The following is a 20,962-nucleotide window of genomic DNA, read 5'->3' as shown; positions in this document are numbered from 1 at the left end:
CTTGTGTTATCTATAGATTCCAGACATTATATGGAAAAGCATTGTGAAAATCTCTTTCCTGTTCTGTTCTAATTACTGGTGCATGCAGCCCCCAGTCACATACCCCCTGCTTGCTCAATCAATCACGACCCTCTCATGCAGACCCCCTTAAAGTTGTAAGCCCTTAAAAGGGACAGGAGTTGCTCACTTGGGGAGCTTGGCTTTTAAGACGGAAGTCTGCTGAAGCTCCTGGCCAAATAAACCTACTTCCTTCTTTCACCCAGTGTCTGAGGAGTTTTCTCTGCAGCTCATCCTGCTACACCAGCTACTTGGGAGGCTGAGGCAGGAGAATTGCTTGAACCCAGGAGGCAGAGGTTGCAGTGAGCTGAAATAGTCCCATTGCACTCCAGCCTGGGCAACAAGAGCAAAACTCAGTTTAAAAAGAAAAAGAGGAATGTGGAGCCAAGATGGCCAAATAGGAACAGCTCCGGTCTACAGCTCCCAGCGTGAGCGACGCAGAAGATGGCTGATTTCTGCATTTCCATCTGAGGTACGGGGTTCATCTCACTAGGGAGTGCCAGACAGTGGGCGCAGGCCAGTGTGTGTGCGCACCGTGTGCGAGCCAAAGCAGGGCGAGGCATTGCCTCACCTGGGAAGCGCAAGGGGTCAGGGAGTTCCCTTTCTGAGTCAAAGAAAGGGGTGACGGACGCACCTGGAAAATCGGGTCACTCCCACCCGAATATTGCGCTTTTCAGACCGGCTTAAGAAACGGCACACCACGAGACTATATCCCACACCTGGCTCAGAGGGTCCTACGCCCACGGAATCTCACTGATTGCTAGCACAGCAGTCTGAGATCAAACTGCAAGGCGGCAACGAGGCTGGGGGAGGGGCGCCCGCCATTGCCCAGGCTTCCTTAGGTAAACAAAGCAGCAGGGAAGCTCGAACTGGGTGGAGCCCACCACAGCTCAAGGAGGCCTGCCTGCCTCTGTAGGCTCCACCTCTGGGGGCAGGGCACAGACAAACAAAAAGACAACAGTAACCTCTGCAGACTTAAGTGTCCCTGTCTGACAGCTTTGAAGAGAGCAGTGGTTCTCCCAGCACGCAGCTGGAGATCTGAGAACGGGCAGACTGCCTCCTCAAGTGGGTCCCTGACCCCTGACCCCCGAGCAGCCTAACTGGGAGGCACCCCCCAGCAGGGGCACACTGACACCTCACACGGCAGGGTATTCCAACAGACCTGCAGCTGAGGGTCCTGTCTGTTAGAAGGAAAACTAACAACCAGAAAGGACATCTACACCGAAAACCCATCTGTACATCACCATCATCAAAGACCAAAAGTAGATAAAACCACAAAGATGGGGAAAAAACAGAACAGAAAAACTGGAAACTCTAAAATGCAGAGAACCTCTCCTCCTCCAAAGGAACGCAGTTCCTCACCAGCAACAGAACAAAGCTGGATGGAGAATGATTTTGACGAGCTGAGAGAAGAAGGCTTCAGATGATCAAATTACTCTGAGCTACGGGAGGACATTCAAACCAAAGGCAAAGAAGTTGAAAACTTTGAAAAAAATTTAGAAGAATGTATAACTAGAATAACCAATACAGAGAAGTGCTTAAAGGAGCTGATGGAGCTGAAAACCCAGGCTCGAGAACTACGTGAAGAATGCAGAAGCCTCAGGAGCCGATGCGATCAACTGGAAGAAAGGGTATCAGTGATGGAAGATCAAATGAATGAAATGAAGCGAGAAGGGAAGTTTAGAGAAAAAAGAATAAAAAGAAATGCGCAAAGCCTCCAAGAAATATGGGACTATGTGAAAAGACCAAATCTACGTCTGATTGGTGTACCTGAAAGTGATGTGGAGAATGGAACCAAGTTGGAAAACACTCTGCAGGATATTATCCAGGAGAACTTCCCCAATCTAGCAAGGCAGGCCAACGTTCAGATTCAGGAAATACAGAGAACGCCACAAAGATACTCCTCGAGAAGAGCAACTCCAAGACACATAATTGTCAGATTCACCAAAGTTGAAATGAAGGAAAAAATGTTAAGGGCAGCCAGAGAGAAAGGTCGGGTTACCCTCAAAGGAAAGCCCATCAGACTAACAGCGGATCTCTCGGCAGAAACCCTACAAGCCAGAAGAGAGTGGGGGCCAATATTCAACATTCTTAAAGAAAAGAATTTTCAACCCAGAATTTCATATCCAGCCAAACTAAGCTTCATAAGTGAAGGAGAAATAAAATACTTTATAGACAAGCAAATGCTGAGAGATTTTGTCACCACCAGGCCTGCCCTAAAAGAGCTCCTGAAGGAAGCGCTAAACTTGGAAAGGAACAACCGGTACCAGCTGCTGCAAAATCATGCCAAAATGTAAAGATCATCGAGACTAGGAAGAAACTGCATCAACTAATGAGCAAAATCACCAGCTAACATCATAATGACAGGATCAAATTCACACATAACAATATTAACTTTAAATATAAATGGACTAAATTCTTCAATTAAAAGACACAGACTGGCAAGTTGGATAAAGAGTCAAGACCCATCAGTGTGCTGTATTCAGGAAACCCATCTCACGTGCAGAGACACACATAGGCTCAAAATAAAAGGATGGAGGAAGATCTACCAAGCCAATGGAAAACAAAAAAAGGCAGGGGTTGCAATCCTAGTCTCTGATAAAACAGACTTTAAACCAACAAAGATCAAAAGAGACAAAGAAGGCCATTACATAATGGTAAAGGGATCAATTCAACAAGAGGAGCTAACTATCCTAAATATTTATGCACCCAATACAGGAGCACCCAGATTCATAAAGCAAGTCCTGAGTGACCTACAAAGAGACTTAGACTCCCACACATTAATAATGGGAGACTTTAACACCCCACTGTCAACATTAGACAGATCAACGAGACAGAAAGTCAACAAGGATACCCAGGAATTGAACTCAGCTCTGCACCAAGCAGACCTAATAGACATCTACAGAACTCTCCACCCCAAATCAACAGAATATACATTTTTTTCAGCACCACACCACACCTATTCCAAAATTGACCACATACTTGGAAGTAAAGCTCTCCTCAGCAAATGTAAAAGAACAGAAATTATAACAAACTATCTCTCAGACCACAGTGCAATCAAACTAGAACTCAGGATTAAGAATCTCACTCAAAGCCGCTCAACTACATGGAAACTGAACAACCTGCTCCTGAATGACTACTGGGTACATAACGAAATGAAGGCAGAAATAAAGATGTTCTTTGAAACCAACGAGAACAAAGACACCACATACCAGAATCTCTGGGACGCATTCAAAGCAGTGTGTAGAGGGAAATTTGTAGCACTAAATGCCTACAAGAGAAAGCAGGAAAGATCCAAAATTGACACCCTAACATCACAATTAAAAGAACTAGAAAAGCAAGAGCAAACACATTCAAAAGCTAGCAGAAGGCAAGAAATAACTAAAATCAGAGCAGAACTGAAGGAAATAGAGACACAAAAAACCCTTCAAAAAATCAATGAATCCAGGAGCTGGTTTTTTGAAAGGATCAGCAAAATTGATAGACCGCTAGCAAGACTAATAAAGAAAAAAAGAGAGAAGAATCAAATAGACACAATAAAAAATGATAAAGGGGATATCACCACCGATCCCACAGAAATACAAACTACCATAAGAGAATACTACAAACACCTCTACGCAAATAAACTAGAAAATCTAGAAGAAATGGATACATTCCTCGACACATACACTCTCCCAAGACTAAACCAGGAAGAAGTTGAATCTCTGAATAGACCAATAACAGGCTCTGAAATTGTGGCAATAATCAATAGTTTACCAACCAAAAAGAGTCCAGGACCACATGGATTCACAGCCGAATTCTACCAGAGGTACAAGGAGGAACTGGTACCATTCCTTCTGAAACTATTCCAATCAATAGAAAAAGAGGGAATCCTCCCTAACTCATTTTATGAGGCCAGCATCATTCTGATACCAAAGCCGGGCAGAGACACAACCAAAAAAGAGAATTTTAGACCAATATCCTTGATGAACATTGATGCAAAAATCCTCAATAAAATACTGGCAAACCGAATCCAGCAGCACATCAAAAAGCTTATCCACCATGATCAAGTGGGCTTCATCCCTGGGATGCAAGGCTGGTTCAATATACGCAAATCAATAAATGTAATCCAGCATATAAACAGAGCCAAAGACAAAAACCACATGATTATCTCAATAGATGCAGAAAAAGCCTTTGACAAAATTCAACAACCCTTCATGCTAAAAACTCTCAATAAATTAGGTATTGATGGGACGTATTTCAAAATAATAAGAGCTATCTATGACAAACCCACAGCCAATATCATACTGAATGGGCAAAAACTGGAAGCATTCCCTTTGAAGACTGGCACAAGACAGGGATGCCCTCTCTCACCGCTCTTATTCAACATAGTGTTGGAAGTTCTGGCCAGGGCAATCAGGCAGGAGAAGGAAATAAAGGGTATTCAATTAGGAAAAGAGGAAGTCAAATTGTCCCTGTTTGCAGACGACATGATTGTTTATCTAGAAAACCCCATCGTCTCAGCCCAAAATCTCCTTAAGCTGATAAGCAACTTCAGCAAAGTCTCAGGATACAAAATCAATGTACAAAAATCACAAGCATTCTTATACACCAACAACAGACAAACAGAGAGCCAAATCATGAGTGAACTCCCATTCACAATTGCTTCAAAGAGAATCAAATACCTAGGAATCCAACTTACAAGGGATGTGAAGGACCTCTTCAAGGAGAACTACAAACCACTGCTCAAGGAAATAAAAGAGGACACAAACAAATGGAAGAACATTCCATGCTCATGGGTAGGAAGAATCAATATCGTGAAAATGGCCATACTGCCCAAGGTAATTTACAGATTCAATGCCATCCCCATCAAGCTACCAATGACTTTCTTCACAGAATTGGAAAAAACTACTTTAAAGTTCATATGGAACCAAAAAAGAGCCCGCATCGCCAAGTCAATCCTAAGCCAAAAGAACAAAGCTGGAGGCATCACACTACCTGACTTCAAACTATACTACAAGGCTACAGTAACCAAAACAGCATGGTACTGGTACCAAAACAGAGATATAGATCAATGGAACAGAACAGAGCCCTCAGAAATAAGGCCGCCTATCTACAACTATCTGATCTTTGACAAACCTGAGAAAAACAAGCAATGGGGAAAGGATTCCCTATTTAATAAATGGTGCTGGGAAAACTGGCTAGCCATATGTAGAAAGCTGAAACTGGATCCCTTCCTTACACCTTATACAAAAATCAATTCAAGATGGATTAAAGATTTAAACGTTAGACCTAAAACCATAAAAACCCTAGAAGAAAACCTAGGCATTACCATTCAGGACATAGGCGTGGGCAAGGACTTCATGTCCAAAACACCAAAAGCAATGGCAACGAAAGCCAAAATTGACAAATGGGATCTAATTAAACTAAAGAGCTTCTGCACAGCAAAAGAAACTACCATCAGAGTGAACAGGCAACCTACAACATGGGAGAAAATTTTTGCAACCTACTCATCTGACAAAGGGCTAATATCCAGAATCTACAATGAACTCAAACAAATTTACAAGAAAAAAACAAACAACCCCATCAAAAAGTGGGCGAATGACATGAACAGACACTTCTCAAAAGAAGACATTTATGCAGCCAAAAAACACATGAAGAAATGCTCATCATCACTGGCCATCAGAGAAATGCAAATCAAAACCACTATGAGATATCATCTCACACCAGTTAGAATGGCAATCATTAAAAAGTCAGGAAACAACAGGTGCTGGAGAGGATGTGGAAAAATAGGAACACTTTTACACTGTTGGTGGGACTGTAAACTAGTTCAACCATTGTGGAAGTCAGTGTGGCGATTCCTCAGGGATCTAGAACTAGAAATACCATTTGACCCAGCCATCCCATTACTGGGTATATACCCAAATGACTATAAATCATGCTGCTATAAAGACACATGCACACGTATGTTTATTGCGGCACTATTCACAATAGCAAAGACTTGGAACCAACCCAAATGTCCCACAATGATAGACTGGATTAAGAAAATGTGGCACATATACACCATGGAATACTATGCAGCCATAAAAAATGATGAGTTCATGTCCTTTGTAGGGACATGGATGAAATTGGAAACCATCATTCTCAGTAAACTATCGTAAGAACAAAAAACCAAACACCGCATATTCTCACTCATAGGTGGCAATTGAACAATGAGATCACATGGACACAGGAAGGGGAATATCACACTCTGGGGACTGTGGTGGGGTCGGGGGAGGGGGGAGGGATAGCATTGGGAGATATACCTAATGCTAGATGACACGTTAGTGGGTGCAGCACACCAGCATGGCACATGTATACATATGTAACTAACCTGCACAATGTGCACATGTACCCTAAAACTTAGAGTATAATTAAAAAAAAAAAATTTAAAAAAAAAAAAAAGAAAAAGAAAAAGAAAATTAAAAAAAATCAGGAAAACAACTTTTTAAATAATATAAATTTTTTATCTACAAATACACAGGAAAGTTCAAAATTATTTCCTAGACATTTCACTAAAAGTTGGGATAATTAACAGTTAATGTAATTCCTAAATATAATTGAAAAACACTAAATGTAAGAAAAACAAGTCTGCCTAAAGAGTAGATAAGAAAAAAACGGCTGTGTGAAGTGGCTCATGCCTGTCATCCCAACACTTTGGGATGCTGAGGCAGGTGTATCACTTGAGGTCAGGAGTTCAAGACAAGCCTGTCCAACATGGTGAAACCCCATCTCTACTAACAATACAAAAATTAGCTGGGTGTGGTGGTGGGCTCCTGCAATACTAGCTACTTGGGAAGCTGAAGCACAAGAATCGCTTGAACCCCAGAGGCGGAGGTTGCAGTGAGCAGAGATCAAGTCACCTCACCCCAGCCTGGGTGATAGAGTGAGACTCTGTCTCAAAAAAAAAAAAAAGAAAAAAGCAAGATATACTTTTGATGAATAAAGTTATAAAGGCATAAAATGTGTGTTTAGAATATTTTTATCCAGTTTGAAATTGCTTAAGTGTTGTTTCAGATTGAAAGAATAAAAAGAATATAGATAAAACTAAAATATAAGAAGTATAAAATTTAATTATGAGATTTTAAAATAATTATGGAAAACTAGTGTGGTCAAAAATGACAGATTTGATAGATTTCTTTATAAGATTTTATTAAAATTAGCTTTAGTATTGATAATACATTAATAAAAAAGTAACATTTGATTTTCTCTTTAACAAAAATTGTATGTAGTGTTAATAAACACAGTATAATATTTTTGCTCAACTTTTGAGTAAATTTAAAGAATGAGAAAGAGAGGACATATAATATCAGTCATGCTTTCTTACTTAGGCCTTTTGACTAGCAAACTAAATCTTTTCTATAAAAAAAGGATTTTGTTTTAATAATTTTCTTAAATTATCACTTTGGCTAAGTGAATGACTATTATTTCGTGGTGACCTTGATCCTATTTTGGTAAATTGTTTTAAACCTTAGGGTTTTTTTTCTTTTCTTTTCTTTTCTTTTCTTTTGACAGAGTCTTGCTCTGTCACTCAGACTGGAGTGCAGTGGTGCGATCTTAGCTCACTGCAACCTCTGCCTCCTGGGTTCAAGCAATTCTCCTGTCTCATCCTCTGGAGGAGCTGGGATTACAGGCCTGTGCCACCCTGCCTGGCTAATTTTTGTATTTTTAGTAGAGATGGGGTTTCACCATGTTGGCCAGGCTGGTCTTGAACACCTGACATCAGATTATCAGCCCACCTCAGCCTCCCAAAGTGCTGGGATTACAGGCATGAACCATCATTCCTGGCCCAAACTTTGACATATTTGACAGGCTTCCCAAAGCCAAATTTTAGCTCCAAAATTGTCTTTTTGACAAAAGAAAAGAGGGTCCCTGAAACACCCAAGAGAGATAAACAGAATCTTTTAATATGTTAAATAACATGGGAAATATTGTCAAATAAAAAATGTTTTACTTTCTTCAACTTGTATTTTGTTAAATATCTAATTAGTATGTGATCCAAAATTATATTGGATTTATAAAATTCTAATACATCTGAGTATATGCTATTAATCATAATTACAGTTTTGTTTTGTTTTGTTTTGTTTTTTGGACACAGAGTTTTGCTCTGTCCCTCAGGCTGGAGTGCTGTGGCACAACCTCAACTCACTGCAACCTCCACCTCCCAGATTCAAGTGATTCTCCTGCCTCAGCCTCCTGAGTAGCTAGGGTTATAGGCATCCATCACCATGCCTGGCTTATTTTTTGTATTTTTAGTAAAGACGGGGTTTCACCATGTTGGTCAGGTTGGTCTAGACCTCCCAACCTCAGGTGATCCACCTGCCTGGGCCTCGCAAAATGCTGGGATTACAGGCAAGAGCCAATGCCCCCAGCCCACAATTACAGTTTTTATGATAAATTACTGTAGGCCATAAATATAAACAATTTTTTGTCGATGTGCCTTTATAAGCATTTTAAGATATTTCCACAGTTAATGGATTAATTCTAATGCAGTTCCTAAAATCTTCATAAGCACACAAAATCCTGGAGTATTGTGTCTTCAAGGAGATTCATGAAAAGGATGAAAAGTGCCCAGACAAGTTGCATGCAGTTTTCTGGTCATTTTAGAATTATATTGTTTAGAGTGGGTCAGAATTCTGGGAAATTTAATGAAGAGACTGACTCATAAAACTGCTAACCCAGGAGAGACAAAAATTAATTGAATACCAAAACAATACTTTGCCAGATATTTATGCTAAATCAGCAAGTAATGAAATTCATTAGATATGAAATTTGAATAAACCATATGGTCCAAGTATAATTACCTATGTATGATAACTCATCAGTTATTAGTGCTACGTACCTAAATTGCAGAAACAAACCTAGTATGTAAGAGGACAGAAATCCTGGCCTGGCAAGTGGCTCACACATGTAATCCCAGCACTTTGGGAGGCTGAGGCAGGTAGATCACTTGAGGTCAGGAGTTCTAGACCAGCCTGGCCAACATGGGGAAATCCCATTTCTACTAAAAATACAAAAATTAGCCAGGCATGATGGCAAAGGCCTGTAATCTCAGCTACTCAGGAGGCTGATGCAGGAAAATCACTTGAACCCAGAAGGCAGAAGTGGCAGTGAGCTGATAAGGTGCCACTGCACTTCACAGAGTGAAGACTAGGCCACAGAGTGAGACTCTGTCTCAAAATAACAACCAAAACAAAAAAATAAGAGGACATAAATCCAATGTTAAGTGTGGGCTCCTGAAAAACCTAGACAGCCACTTGGGCTTTCCTGAGTTCTTATAGCTTCCATTATTAAAAGCTATGCATTTTATCACTCAACACAGAAATGATAAAATAATCTAAATTAAATGTAAATTAAGTGTGTGTGTGTGTGTTGATTATCTAAATTACTAAAATATTTTATGACCAATGCTTTGTTTGCCAAACATATAATACTGAGAAGACAATCAAAACTTCAGGTACATTTATGCTACCTGATGGGTAATTTAAACATTTATACAGAAATTTTACTCAATTGTCATTTTAACACGTTTTCTGGTTGTATAAATGCTTTCTTAAGCAAGAAGGCTGATGTTATGACAGTAGCTAAAAAGATATTAGAAAATATGTTTTCCTAATGTGACATTTCTGAAAAAAAACTCCAATGATAAAAATTCTTATTTTAGTAGAGAAGTTGTAAAACTGTTAAGTTATTACAGATACAATAGTATTAAGCAAAGCTAACCAAATTGATTGGATTGCTGTTGCAATTTCAGATTAATGACAATCAGATCCACTTAAAGTAGAAAAAATATGTTGACCATTATAAAATTGTAATTGGAAGGCCTATGAATCTAATAATAGAACCTCATGTATCTTCTGGTACCAAAATCAGATATGAATAAATGCAGCAAGCCTTTAATGCTTTATTCCAAAGCTCATTTTTACGAGGTAAAAAAGCTTTTGATGGTCCACTGACTGAAGACAATTAAACTTTATTTTTAATAGAAACCATTGATTGATTCCCCTCTTGCCATCCACCCTGCAGAAAGACTTCAGGACCTTGAATCTTGGGTTATAATTTCTCAACTCAGAAGGGTGCCTCCAAACTTTTGAAATTTTATAGCCATTGGAGAACTTAAGGCAAAGCCAACCAGGAAAGTTTCTCCTCAGAAGGAGATGGTAATCTTGATGTAGACAGCTTTTTTTCACTATATAAAACATCAATATATCTCTGTTTCTATGACACTCTTAGCTCACAGTTATATTCTTGCTTATGGCTCTATAAAAATAGAAATAAAAATGGTTATCTTGTGTTCACTCCAGGGGTATACTTGTATATTTAGAGGTTTTTGCAGCCAATCTTATATATGGATAAACTTATGTTTTGATAGATGAAAGATAAAAGAACAATTTGGATGAGAAATTTTAATGGGATATTTGTTGCTTCATAATATAAGAAACAGAACATTGGTTCATTGTTCTTAAACGACCTTATAAGCTAAAGAGAATTTTTTAAACTGCATTGTCAGGAGGCCTTGACTTTTCTGAATGGGCACTATTTGTTAGGTTTCTTTTCCCGTGGTTTAGAGTAAATTAGACAATAATTAGAAATTTATCTACCATAATAGTCTCTATAGCAGATTTTGCAGTAAAGGGTATGGATACAAAATAGAATTTAAATTTTCTTATTAAAGTTATGCGAAAAAATCAAATTTCTCTAGGTTATTATTTATAATAATAATAATGGTTATTATTTATAATAATAATGGTTATTATTATGAGACCAAGTTCTGCTGTTGTTGCCCAGGCTGGAGTGCAATGGCATGGTCTTGACTCACTGCAACCTCCGCCTCCTGGGTTCAAGCAATTCTCCTGCCTCAGCCTCCCAAGTAGCTGGGGTTACAGGCACCAGCCACAATGTCTGGTCTGGCTAATTTTTGTATTTTTAGTAGAGACAGGGTTTCACCATGTTGGCCAGGCTGGTCTTGAACTCCTGAACTCAGGTGATCTGCCCGCCTTGGCCTTCCAAAGTGCTGGGATTACAGGTGTGAGACATCATGCTTGGCCTCTCTAGATTATTTATTGGATAAACAGAAGTATCTGTTTAGTTGCTAACACTTGTAATACATCAGATATTAATGCTATTTAGTCATAGGAGATTAATGAACAGACTGCTTGATTGAAATGAGTAAATCATTTATCTGGATAATTATTTTGATCTACTTTATTTTATGTGGTTTTGTTCATGGGGACCCTGGTTAAAAAGCATACTACAGCCAGGCTCGGTGGCTCACGTCTGTAATCCCAGCACTTCGGGAGGCTGAGGTGGGTGGATCACTTGAGGTCAGGAGTTCGACGAGACCAGCCTGGCCAACATGGTGAAATGCTGTCTGTACTAAAAATACAAAAAAAAAAATTAACCAGGCCTGGTGGTGTGCACCTGTAATCTCAGCTACTGGGAAGGCTGAGGCAGGAGAATTGCTTGAACCCAGGGGGCAGAGTTTGCAGTGGGTCAAGATTGCACCACTGCACTCCAGCCTGGGCAATGGAGCATAACTCTGTCAAAAAAAAAAAAAAAACAGAAAAAGAAAAAGCATACTCCAAACTCTATTGATATTAACTTCCTGATAGTGAAAATAATGGTCTTCCTGGTGCAATATATTATCTCAAAAGTTATAAATGTGTGCATACATACAGCAGTCTCTAGAATGCCAAATTGTTCTTAACTGAAATGACAAAAACTCAAAACAAAGGCCAGGTTCAGTTGCTCACACCTGTAATCCCAGCACTTTAGGAGGCCGAGAAGGGCAGATCACCTGAGATCGGGAGTTCAAGACCAGCCTGAACAACATGGAGAAACCCCATCTCTATTAAAAATACAAAATTATTCAGGCATGGTGGTGCCTGCCTATAATCCCAGCTACTCAGGAGGCTGATGCAGTAAAACAGCTTGAACCCACGAGGAGGAGTTTACAATGAGCTGAGATGGTGCCATTGCACTCCAGCCTGGGCAACAAGAGCAAAACTCCATCTCAAAAAACAAACAAACAACAAAAAACCCTCAAAGACTATATGAACACTATAACCTATAAATGGCATGATAAGTATAGAAACCCAAAATAATAACTGTGATTGGCAGTAGTGATTTGAGTTTTGGTCACACTCTCATCTAAGTGAGAACTTAACCGAAAGTATTTTTTTTTTTTTTGAGAAGGAGTCTTGCTCTATCACCCTGGCTGGAGTGCAGTGGCACGATCTCTGCACACTGTAACCTCTGCCCCCCAGGTTCAAGCAATTTTCCTGCCTCAGCCTCCCCAGCAGTTGGGATTACAGGCATGCACCACCACACAAGGCTAATTTTTCTATTTTTACTAGAGATGAGATTTCACCACATTGGCCAGGCTAGTCTTGAACTCCTGAACTCAAGTGATCTGCCCACCTTGGCCTCCCAAAGTGCTGGGATTATAGGCATAAGCCACTGCACCTGCAGTAAAATAATGTTTAAATAAAATTATTGGAGTCTATTGTTTTGGACTGAACTTGTACACTAGGAACAGTGTACAACAGATGAGACAAAACAAAACAAAAATGGAATCACTCATGCTAAATGTGACATAATCAAACTGAGAATTTGAGAAAATAGGTAGATTCTAAAAACAACCTGGTTTTGTTTTTCTTTTGTAAACAGCAGATTTTAACATAAAAAGATCTTTTTTACTCTAATTTTTATTAAAAAATAACAACCTGAAGTTCTTGTTCCTATTTTACCAAATCCAAAGTTCTATTTCCCAGTGGAATTTGAGATGAAATAAGTACATTTATCATGGTGATACTGTGATACCAATATCTAAAATTTTGGCATATCTCAAACTTGGATACTTTAGGATGATCAAAATAGGGAAACTGTTAAATTAAGTTTAGCCTAAAGCTACCTCATTTTATGTTTAATTTCTGTCAATAGGGTTTTTTGTACATGGTAATCTAAAACCTAACTGGACGTGTAAACAGTCTATAAATGTTCTTGTGCTAATCATTAAATTTTTGCCAATCAAATGGGGTCAACTCTTCAAACTATATTCAAATTTTAAAAATCTGAGCTGTCATCAATCTGGCTGTTTCTGTGCCTCACTCCCAGTTTCTGTATGTCACCTTGCTTTTTCTGTCCATACATCTTCCAACATGTGGCCATGCTGGAGTCTCTTTGAGTCTACTCGTGATTCACAAGCTGCTCAATTGGCAGATTATTCTTTGCTCAATTAAACTCTGCTAAATTTGGTTTCTTTAGCTTTTTTTTTAGTTTTGTTTTTGTGTTTCCAAAATGCTTCTGCAAATTTTTTGGAGACAGAGTTTCACTCTATCACCCAGGCTAAAGCACAATAATATGACTGATCCCAGCCCACTGCAGCCTCATCCTCCAAAACTCAAGCAATCTTTCAGCCTCAGGCACTTGAGAACCTGGGATTACAGGTATGTGCCACCATGCCCAGCTGATTTGTTGTTGTTGTTGTTGTTGTTGTTTTGTGGAACAGGGTCTCACCATGTTGCACAGGTTAGTCTTGAACTCCTCATATCAAGTGATTCCCTTGTCTCAGACTCCCAATGTGCCATGATTACAGGTGTGAGATGCCTTGTGCTTGTGCAATTATTATTTTTTTTTGAGACAGAGTCTTGCTCTGTCTCCCAGGCTGGAGTGCAATGGTGCAATATCAGCTCACTGCAACCTCTGCCTCCTGTGTTCCAGCCATTCTCCCACCTCAGCCTCCTGAGTAGCTGGAATCACAAGCACATGCCACCACAACTGGTTAATTTTTTGTATTTTTAGTAGAGATGGGGTTTCATCATGTTTCTGCCAGGCTGGTCTCAAACTCCTGACCTCAAATGATCTGCCCGCCTTGGCCTCCCAGAGTGCTGGGATTATAAGTGTGAGCCACCGCACCTGGCCCTCTTCTGCAATTTTTAAGGGGAAATACTTTCTTTTTTTTTTTTTTTTTTTTTTTGAGACGGAGTCTTGCTCTGTCACCCAGGCTGGAGTGCCCACTTCTGCAATTTTCAAGGGGAAATACTTTCTCAATGTTTTTTTTTTTATTTTTTTTTTATGGAGTCTTGCTCTGTCACCCAGGCTGGAGTGCAGTGGCAAAATCTCGGCTCACTGCAACCTCCGTGTAAAAAGTAAAGTAGAGTTTCCTCTTCAAAGACTTTCCTCCCCGTCTAGTTAGGAATAAATAGTAACTTCTCTTAGAAGCAAAATTTATTCAAATACCAGTGCTAACATTTTTAAATATCTGCTAGCCATAATAAAGAAATCAATGTACTTTATGTTCTTAACTCCCAGAATTTAGCCTAAATATTTGCCCTGGCATGCTTATACTGGTCCAAGCAAGCACCAGGTCATAGCCTGTTCCTCTTCCTTATTTAAAAGTGTGTTTACCTTTCTTGGCATCCCACAAGTTACTTCTCCTTCCTTTGTCCTCCTCTGCCTTTGCCTCTTTTAAAAAGTTCTAAGTTGCTAGCCAATTGGGACAAATGCAGAATGTGAGTTTCCATTCCAGCCAATGGAAACTGGACACAGCAGTAGGGTGGACGCATCAGGTTATACATGACCCGGTCTCCTTTGTTCAGTGTGCTCTCATGGCAAAACTGCTAGTCAGTGTACCCTTTCTGCAGGAGGTAAAAATGGCCTTACTAAATAAATTAAATTTATGTTCAAGTGCTATTTCTTTATGGCACTGGGGAACAAGCATTTCAAACAATTTGGTGGCAATCCATATGTCAATACATTCTCCTCCAGGGGAAGTCTCCAGTTCTCTCTCATGACGGAGCACGCTTCCCTACCTCATCGCAGGAGTCCTCGTGGTTGAGAAATTGAGACCCACCCAGTGTGATGAATAAACCTGGACTCTCAGCAATGCAGAAAAAAAGAAAGAAAGAAAGAAACTGGCCAGCAACCTAGCTCAAAGGATCCTCACATACTGTGGGATGACTCTGTGCACAGACCAAGGAAGAAGAAGCCGTGGGAGCCAGTAAAGTATTTCCTTGGTGGTTGGGACTAAGGGAAAAGCCACAGGACAGTAAAGCATTCCTTGGTTAGGACATACCAAGGAGAGAAAAACCACAGGGACAGTAAAGTATCCCTTAGTTGGGATGTCTTGAAGGTTAAAAATAGGTAAGAAACCCCATAAGGGGGGTTGAACCTCAGAAAGGGTGAGAAATCCCCATGAGTGGGGGATTGAACCTCAAAAGGAGGTGAGAAATTCCCAGGGGGGAGTTGAACCTCAGAAAGAGGTGAGAAATCCCCATGCAGGGGTTGGACTTCCAGAAGAGGTGAGAAATCCCCATGGGGGCTGTTGAACCCCAGAAAGAGATGAGAAATCCCCATGAGGGGGGTTGAACCTCAGAAAGAGGTGAGAAATCCCCATGGTGGGGGCTTGAACCTCGCACAAACCTCCAGTAGTAAGATATTCAGAACCGCTTTTCCTTTCTTCTTGGGGAAAGAAAGAGTAGCTCCACTCCTGCCTGTCCCTCCCCTAAGGAAGGAGAAGGAAGGGAAAAACAGCAGCATAGGTGGCTGGCAGAGATAAAGGAAAGACCAGCAGGAAAGAAAAAGAAACTAGGAGACGAAGTCAGAGAGAAAGAAAGCAAAAACAGCAAGCACAGAGCCAAACAGCCAGACAGGCACACCAAGGGTTAAGTCCCTCTTCCCAGCCTGGCTCTATGTGAGAAAGAGGGTGGGGCTGGCACCAGGAGAGAGAGAGAGGAAGTGAAAAGGCATAATTCTTGCAATTTGCAGCAGGCATCTGCCAAGCCTCTAGGCGAGTGACTGCCCAGGGCCCAGAACGCAGCCGCACAAATCCCACCCAGCCCGAGAAACTAAGTGTAAGAAGAAAGGAAAAAAAGTAAAAAGGGGAATTGAAAAGAAAAACAAAAGGAGAAAGAGAAGGCAGCAGGTATACGGGGGCGGGGCCGTGTTGTGGCCCAGCCCCACTTGTGGCAGGAGCAGGAGAACTTGGGAGAAGAAAGGGAAACAGGACGACAAAGAGAGAGGAAAATAGAGTGCAAATGAGAGAGAGAGAAATAGAGGGAAAGAAAAAGAGAGAAACTGGAAGAGACAGAAATCAAAGGAAGACACAGAGGGTGAAACCAGGAAAAGAAATAGTGTAAAAGGAAGGCAGATAGTTAAGACATGTTGAAGATTCTCTATGAAAGTCATAAGAAAAGCTATAAAAGGGAATTTATACAAGAAATATTGTATAATTTAAAATTAATTAGGCCTCCTGAATGTAAAATTATTTTAAAAATAGTTTATGTACAAGGTATGTAAGAAAAATATACTCTTAATAACAGGATTATAAGGAGGAATAAAAATACCAATTTTTACCTACACTGAAGATTTAAAAAATTTGTTTTATAAGTTTAAGCAAGTTTTAAAATGTTAATTGTAAAAGAAATTCTGTGTGTAAACATATTGGCTAAAGTTAAAAAGGGTATCATTCAGTTTTTCTGTGAACTGAACATTAAAATTAAAGCACAATGTATTTTTCTTGAAGCATTAGCCTGCTCTTTACCAAAAATTATAGAAAGTTAAAAAGAGTCTATAAAAGTCTTACCTTATAGTCAGACATTAAAATTGGATAAATAACATCTGCAAGATTTTATTATAATTAAGTTTAACATTAATAGCACATTAATATAAAGATAAAATTTAACTTATCTAGTATAAAATCATACAAACAACATTGTCAAATATAAAATGGTGTTTAGCTTTCTTAAGGCCCAAAGGCAGCCAGGTAAGTCACAAGGCCCCTCATCCTTAAGTTTACAGTTTGCAGGGTCGGTGAAGGCCACAAGAAGGCCAAGACATTAAGAGGGGGCAGAGTTGCAGCATCCCCTGGCTGGCGCTAAGCAGGAATGGAGCAGGAGTCGTTACCATGAGGCCTCAAGCCCCAGGATATGCAGCAGAAATTATATACTTAATTTATCTTCACTTTCCCTTCCCTCGAAACTAAAAGTCTTTTAGCACAGGTACCACACCTAGAATTTCCAGTACACCAGCACCAGCCTGAAAATGACGTCTTCATCAAAAGATAGAAAGAAAAAACTCAAGCCAGCCTCGGAAGAACCCTATTTTATGCTGTTAACCACTAATACTGCTGTCTGCACAGCCCAGAAAAAAGAAAATAGATCCACCATACTCAAGTCAGGAAAACATCTTCCTCTCAGAATCATGGGTTACTGTACTAAGATCAAGCCCTACTAAGTGAATGTTAAAGAAAGATTAACTTTCATATACCTTCTATATTGCTTCCTTTCCTTTCCTTATTCTGTTGTTATCTCCTTTGTTATTAATGTAACTAAGTCTGACTCACCTCAGACTATTGCCTTTAATACTTGCTCTGTCATACCTTGGGGAAATGTAAATGATCAAAAATGGCTACGCTTTTCACACAAATATTTATGTCCCAGCCCTCTAATTGACACAGTTACCCCTAGCACACATTCGTTATAATGACCTGCAGCCAAGAGGTCGATTTTCGGCTCCTACCACCTGGCAACCTTGTAGTAAACGGGACTACATCCTTCAAACTACCCAGGAGCAAAATTGGACGTCCACTAAAAGGTTTGTGCAGATCTAAAACCCCTCATCTGTTTCACTAAAAGGAGTACCCCTTCTAACTGTCAGCCTTATCAATATAACCCTGTCCTCTTTATCAGCACCTCCACCTTAACTAACTCTAGACCTGCCTTTAGTTGATTCTATGGTATAAGGATTGACATAAATAAAAAATACCCCCCAGGTATTTTTAAAATATGCATTATTCCCCCATCTTCCCCTTCTTCAGTAGCCTCAGATCTAGATCCCACACTGGTTGCTCCTACATCTAATAAAACTAGGGTGTATATTATAAAAATAAGAGATCTAAAATAGACCTTAGCCATCAAGACAAAATATCAAGATACAAATAAATGCCTGGCTGAAATGGACTAAATCCATTCACACTTTAAATAAAAGCGATTACTATGCTTGTATGCACGGTAGGCAAGCAGCCCAGATTATCCCCTTTCCACTCGGATAATCTCCTCGTCAACCAGATATGGACTCTATGGGACTCTATGGTGGCTCTTTTTCAAAATCCCACTGCTTGAGATAATCCAACATACTGAGCTCTCTCTGCTATTTCCTGAAATACAACACCCTGTGTGTCAGCCGCCTAGGTCAGTCCAGCTTGCACTTCTAAATGCCAAGTTTACTTCATGCCTCTCACAGCAGGAGGAAAATTTAGTGTTCCTTGGAAGCATTAAAGGATGCAAGGAGCTCAAGCCTTCCCAAGATCTTGCCCATCAGTCCATGCTTAGCCATCCCCAAACAAATGTATGGTGGTACTGTACAAGACCTTTACTGTATATTCTGCCAAATAATTGGAGCAGTACTTGTGCTCTAATCCAATTGGCTATCCCCTTTACCCTAGCATTTCATCAATCTAAAAAGGTAAAAACAAAACACTTGCAGGCCAACAAAAACTCCTTATGAATCCTTTAATCCTCAGGTTTACATAAATGCTATTAAGGTCCTGTGAGAAATGCCAGATAAGATTAAAGCACAAAATCAAATAGATTTGATTTTGCAGAATTCAAAACCACATTATTTGGGTAAGTAACTATAAAAAAAAGTAGGCTAAATAAACTCTATCTCTTACCATTAACAACAATTCATAAATTACACTGAGGATGCCATCAAAGAGATAGCTAAGCAATTAGAATCTACTGGCCAGAAGGCCTAGAAAAATAAAATAGCTTTCAATATACTATTAGCAGAAAAGGGAGATATTTGTGTCATAATTGAAACTCAATATTGGAACCTCTGCCGAAAGAATTGATTCCTCAGCAGTGTCATGAAAGCAAACCAGTTAATGTTGATGAAGCTACAAAATTAATGGCTCAGTTGTAACACAGTAGTAATGTGTCTAATTCCCCACAAATACCAATAAATTAAATGTTTTATACAAAACTCAATATTGTACCTATGTTCCTGATAATACTGACCCTGATAGAACTATAACAAAAGAGCTACAAAGGTTAACAGCCCTATCCGATAAACTTGCCAAAAATTCTAAAATAAATAACCCCTTTTCTAAAATATTAAAACATTAGTTCAGTGAATAAAAAGGAATTTTACCTTCAATTCTCACCTTGTTCACTATTGTTATTGGTGTACTTATTCTTGTAGACTGTTATGTTATTCCCTACCTTCAAAGTTTTATATAAAAACTTGTCTCTGCCACTCTTACAGAGTTAACTCCTAACTCTCCACCACCTAGTTCAAAAAAAATTACTTATCTTAGAAGGACAAAAAAAGTAATTAAGTCAAAACATATTAAACAAGTTTGAAGATGAATTATGAAATAAAAAGAGAAGGAATATTGTAAAAAGTAAAGTAGAGTTTCCTCTTTAAAGACTTTCCTCCCCATCTAGTTAGGAATAAATAGTAACTTCTCTTAGAAGCAAAATTTATTCAAAGACCAGTGCTAACATTCTTAAATATCTGCTAGCCATAATAAAGAAATCAATGTACTTTATGTTCTTAGCTCCCACATTTTAGCCTGAATATCTGCCCTGGCATGCTTATACTGGTCCAAGCAAGCATTAGGTCATAGCCTGTTCCTCTTCCTTATTTAAAAGTGTTTTTACCTTTCTCAGCATTCCACAACTTACTTCTCCTTCCTTTGTTCTCCTCTGCCTTTGCCTCTTTTAAAAAGTTCTAAGTTGCTAGCCAATCGGGACAAATACAGAATGTGAGTTTCCATTCCAGCCAATGGAAACTGGACACTGCAGTAGGGTGGATGCGTCAGGTTATAAATGACCCTGTCTCCTTTGTTAAGTGTACTCTCGTGGTAAAACTGCTGACAAGTGTACCCTTTCTGCAGGAAGTAAAAATGACCTTACTAAATAAATTAAATTTATGTTCAAGTGCTATTTCTTTATGGCACTGGGGAACAAGAATTTCAAACACTCTTTCTTCCAGGTTCAAGTGATTCTCATGCCTCATCCTCCTCAGTAGCTGGGATTACAGGCTCGTGCCACCATGCTCAGCTAATTTTTGTTTTTCTAGTAAAGACAGAGTTTCACCATGTTGGTCAGGCTGGTCTTGAACTCCTGATATCTTGATCTGCCCACCTCAGCCTCCCAAAGTGCTGGGATTACAGGCATGAGCCACCACATCCAGTTCAATGTTAAACAGTACTATATGGGCCCATATCTAGAAGGAATCTAGCTTGTATTGTAGAAGTGTCACTCTTCACGACTAAAAAGGTCTAGGCCAGCTAATTGAGTGGTGTGATCATGAAGGTACATGAGCTATAAAGTAAGACAGAGATGATACTGAGTCTTAGCTTCACCAATTAGCAGTTGTGGGTCTTTGGACAAGTTCTTTGACTTGGAAGAATTCTATAAAGGCAAAAGACAAAGTGATAATGGTTGCAAAAATGGAAGCAATTTCTGACATTTATTTTGTATTCATGTCCATTTCCAGGTGCTTTTACAGCTGTTCCCATCAAGATCCAGAATCTGTTTACAAAACCTTAAATTTGGCTGACCTTATTTTCACAGGCCATTAGAAGCCTGTGAACATGATAAGAGTGCTAGTTTCAGGCCTAGGTTCAAAAGGTCTTGAATGCTTCTTTTTTTTTTTTTTTTTTTTTTTTTTTTAAGAACGCTACCATCTCCATGAGAGAAAGTCCATGTTAGCCAGCTGGGGGATAACATCACATAAGGAGGATAAACATAGTTCCAATCTAGATAGCCCCAGAAGCAAAAGCTCACCCTCAGAATCACAGCTGCCTAGTCAACAAGCAGTTGACCACACATGCCTGAAGCAGCTCAGCTTAGACTAGAAGAATGACCCCACTGAGCCC

The 20,962-nt window shown here is 39.6% G+C and overlaps 1 annotated feature.

Annotated features, from left to right (window-relative positions):
* Positions 740-1,330: an enhancer, noted in NCBI's record as "H3K27ac-H3K4me1 hESC enhancer chr16:34847980-34848570 (GRCh37/hg19 assembly coordinates)". NCBI's record gives its function as "activates a minimal SCP1, AML or CMV promoter by ChIP-STARR-seq in naive H9 embryonic stem cells {active_cell/tissue: H9 hESC(naive)}" and the evidence as "EXISTENCE:reporter gene assay evidence [ECO:0000049][PMID:30033119]".

This window comes from Homo sapiens, chromosome 16 (genome assembly GCF_000001405.40).
Source record: "Homo sapiens chromosome 16, GRCh38.p14 Primary Assembly".
NCBI classification, from domain to species: domain Eukaryota; kingdom Metazoa; phylum Chordata; class Mammalia; order Primates; family Hominidae; genus Homo; species Homo sapiens.
This window is presented reverse-complemented; position numbering and strand designations above follow the sequence as displayed.